The 2931-nt window shown below is 43.5% G+C and overlaps 1 annotated feature.

Annotated features, from left to right (window-relative positions):
* Positions 1505-1705: a silencer, noted in NCBI's record as "peak5950 fragment used in MPRA reporter construct". NCBI's record gives its function as "represses an SCP1 promoter by STARR-seq MPRAs in K562 erythroleukemia cells {active_cell/tissue: K562}" and the evidence as "EXISTENCE:reporter gene assay evidence [ECO:0000049][PMID:32103011]".

The raw sequence follows: 2931 nt of genomic DNA, 5'->3' as shown, positions 1-2931 counted from the left end.
GACCAGCCTGGCCAACATGGTGAAACTCCATCTCTACTAAAAATGCAAAAATTAGTGGGGCCTAGTAGTGGGCACCTTTAATCCCAGCTTCTCTGGAGGGTGAGGCAGGGAGAATTGCTTGAATCTGGGAGGTGGAGGTTGCAGTGAGCCGAGATTGTGCCACTTCACTCCAGCCTGAGTGACCGAGCAAGACTCTGTCTCAAAAAAAAAAAAAAAAAAAGGAAAGAAAAGAAAAAAATTAGATACTTCCTTTATTACTTCTATTTGATCTTTTCATATTGAGTTTTGTCTTTTTTTTTTTTTTTTTTTTTTTGAGATGGAGTTTTGCTCTTGTTGCCCAGGCTAGAGTGTAATAGCGCAATGTCAGCTCACCACAACCTCTGCCTCCCGGGATTCTCCTGCCTTAGCCTCCCGAATAGCTGGGATTACAGGGATGTGCCAGCACACCTGGCTAATTTTGTATTTTTAGTAGAGATGGGGTTTCTCCATGTTGGTCAGGCTGGTCTTGAACTCCCGACCTCAGGTGATCCACCCACCTCCCAAAGTGCTGGGATTACAGGCATGAGCCACCATGCCCAGCTGTTTTGTCTTTTTAAAGAAAAAGTAGGCTGGACACGATGGCTCATGCCTGTAATCCTTGCACTTTGGGAGGCCGAGGCAGGAGGATTGCTTGAACACAGGAGTTTGAGACCAGTCTGGGCAACATAGAGAGACCCCCATCGCTACAAAAATATTAAAAAATTATCCAGGCATGGTGTGCCTGTAGTCTCAGCTACTCAAGAGGCTGAGGTGGGAGGATTGCCTTAGCTGGGTATTCGAGGCTGCAGTGAGCCATAGAACTCTAGCCTAGGTGACAGAGTGAGATCCTGCCTCAAAAAAAAAAAAAAAGTAACAACGCTCTAGTGTGTTTACATTTGGATGAGACAAAATTAAATAAGATCAAATATGCAAAGTGCTTGTCTTATATAGGCTCTTTTTTTTTTTTTTTTTTTTTTTTGAGACAGGGTCTAACTCTGTCACCCAGGCTGGAGTGCACTGGTGTGATCGTAGCTCACTGCAGCCTCAAACTCCTGGGCTCAAGCAGTCCTCCCACTTCAGCCTCTGAAGTAGCTAGGATTACACATGAGCCAACACACCTGGCTGAATTTTTTATGTTTTGCAGAGCCAGGGTCTCACAATATTGCCCAGGCTGATCTCAAAGTCTTGGCCTCAAGTGATCTTGCCACTTCAGCATCCATTGGTTCAACACTATGAACTGATTTTATCTGTGCAGTGGATAGGAAGAACCCATTGGATGATTACAGTTATAAGTCCCTTCTGACAGATGAGAAAACAAAAAGGCAGAGAGGTTAAACGATTTGCCCAAGGCCAATAATTAGTACTACATGATCCCAAATCTATCAGATCCATTTTAACCCACTATGATCAGTCTTTCTGCCCCGCCGACCACACCACCAAAACCACTTTTTCAGTGACTTCTCCATTGCCAAATCCTATTATCAATTTTCAGTCCTATCTTACTCCACCTGTCAGCAGCATTTGACACAATTGATCACTTCCTGTTTCTTAAAACCTTTTTTTATTCTATTTGGTTTCCAGCACTCCACCCTGTTCTTCCTCTCCTGTATCTCTCCAAGTCTCCTTTGACTAATTCTTCCCATTGTCCTGAGCATCTCAGGGTTCAGTCCTTGGATATCTCTGTCCATATCCATTCCTTGGATGCTCTTGATTTAAACACCCACTCCCCACCTCCAAACTTATTCCTTCTTGAATGTTCCCCATTCCAGTGGCTCGGGGCTAAACCTTAAGGTAATCCTTTAATGTTTTTCTCTCCCATTTCACACCTAATCCATCAGTAAATCCTATGAGATATATATGTGAGCGTTTATATATATGTATATATATATATATATATATCTCTCTCTCTGAAATTATTATATATATATAAAATCTCAAATATGACCATTTCTCCCTGCCTTCATTGCTACTACCAAGTTCAACTCCCACCTAACACTGCAGAAGCCACCTAACTGGCTTCCCTTTGCCCTGCCTTGCCCCTCTACATTTAGTTGCCCACATGGCAACTAAATTTAAAAAAAAAATTTTTTTTTAAATTATACTTTAAGTTCTAGGGCACATGTGCACAACGTGCAGGTTTGTTGCGTATGTATACATGTGCCATGTTGGTGTGCTGCACCCATTAACTCGTCATTGACATTAGGTATATCTCCTAATGCTATCCCTCCACCCTCCCCCCACCCCACAGCAGGCCCCGGTGTGTGATGTTCCCCTTCCTGTGTCCGGGTGTTCTCATTGTTCAATTCCTACCTATGAGTGAGAACATGGGGTGTTTGCAAAGTGATTTTTTAAAATGAGAATCAGATCCTGTCACTGGTCTGCTCAGAAGCCTCCAACAGCTTTCTATCTTGTAGAGAAAAATCCCAAGTGCTTACCATGACCCCTGACTACCTCTCCGATCACTCTCACTCCCTCTCTTGCCTCTCCCCACGCACTAGCCTTGCTTTTCCTTGGTCATGCCAAGCTGGCCTGGTCTAAGGGCCTCTCTTGCTGGAGCCTGTCTGAAACGCACTCCCCAGACCTCGGCAGGGCTCACTCCTACACTAAATTCAAGGATCCTGTCAAAGGCTGCCTCACATATCCTCTGAAATGACACTCCCACCCCTCTCTATTCCTTTACAGTGATATGACTTATTTTCTTCATGGCTCTTATCACTACTTGTCTTTTTGTTCACCGCTGTATCATCAGTGTTTATTATAAAACAGGACACATAGTATGCCAGGCACTGTTCTAGGCTCTGGAAATGTGGAAATGAATAAAACAAAGTTCTTGCCTTGATAGGGTTTATGTTTCATGAGATGCCACAAAAATAAACAAACATGTAGCACACCTGATGGTGGTAAGCTCTTTTT

Source organism: Homo sapiens, chromosome 6 (assembly GCF_000001405.40).
Source record: "Homo sapiens chromosome 6, GRCh38.p14 Primary Assembly".
Classification (NCBI taxonomy): Eukaryota; Metazoa; Chordata; class Mammalia; order Primates; family Hominidae; genus Homo; species Homo sapiens.
This window is presented reverse-complemented; position numbering and strand designations above follow the sequence as displayed.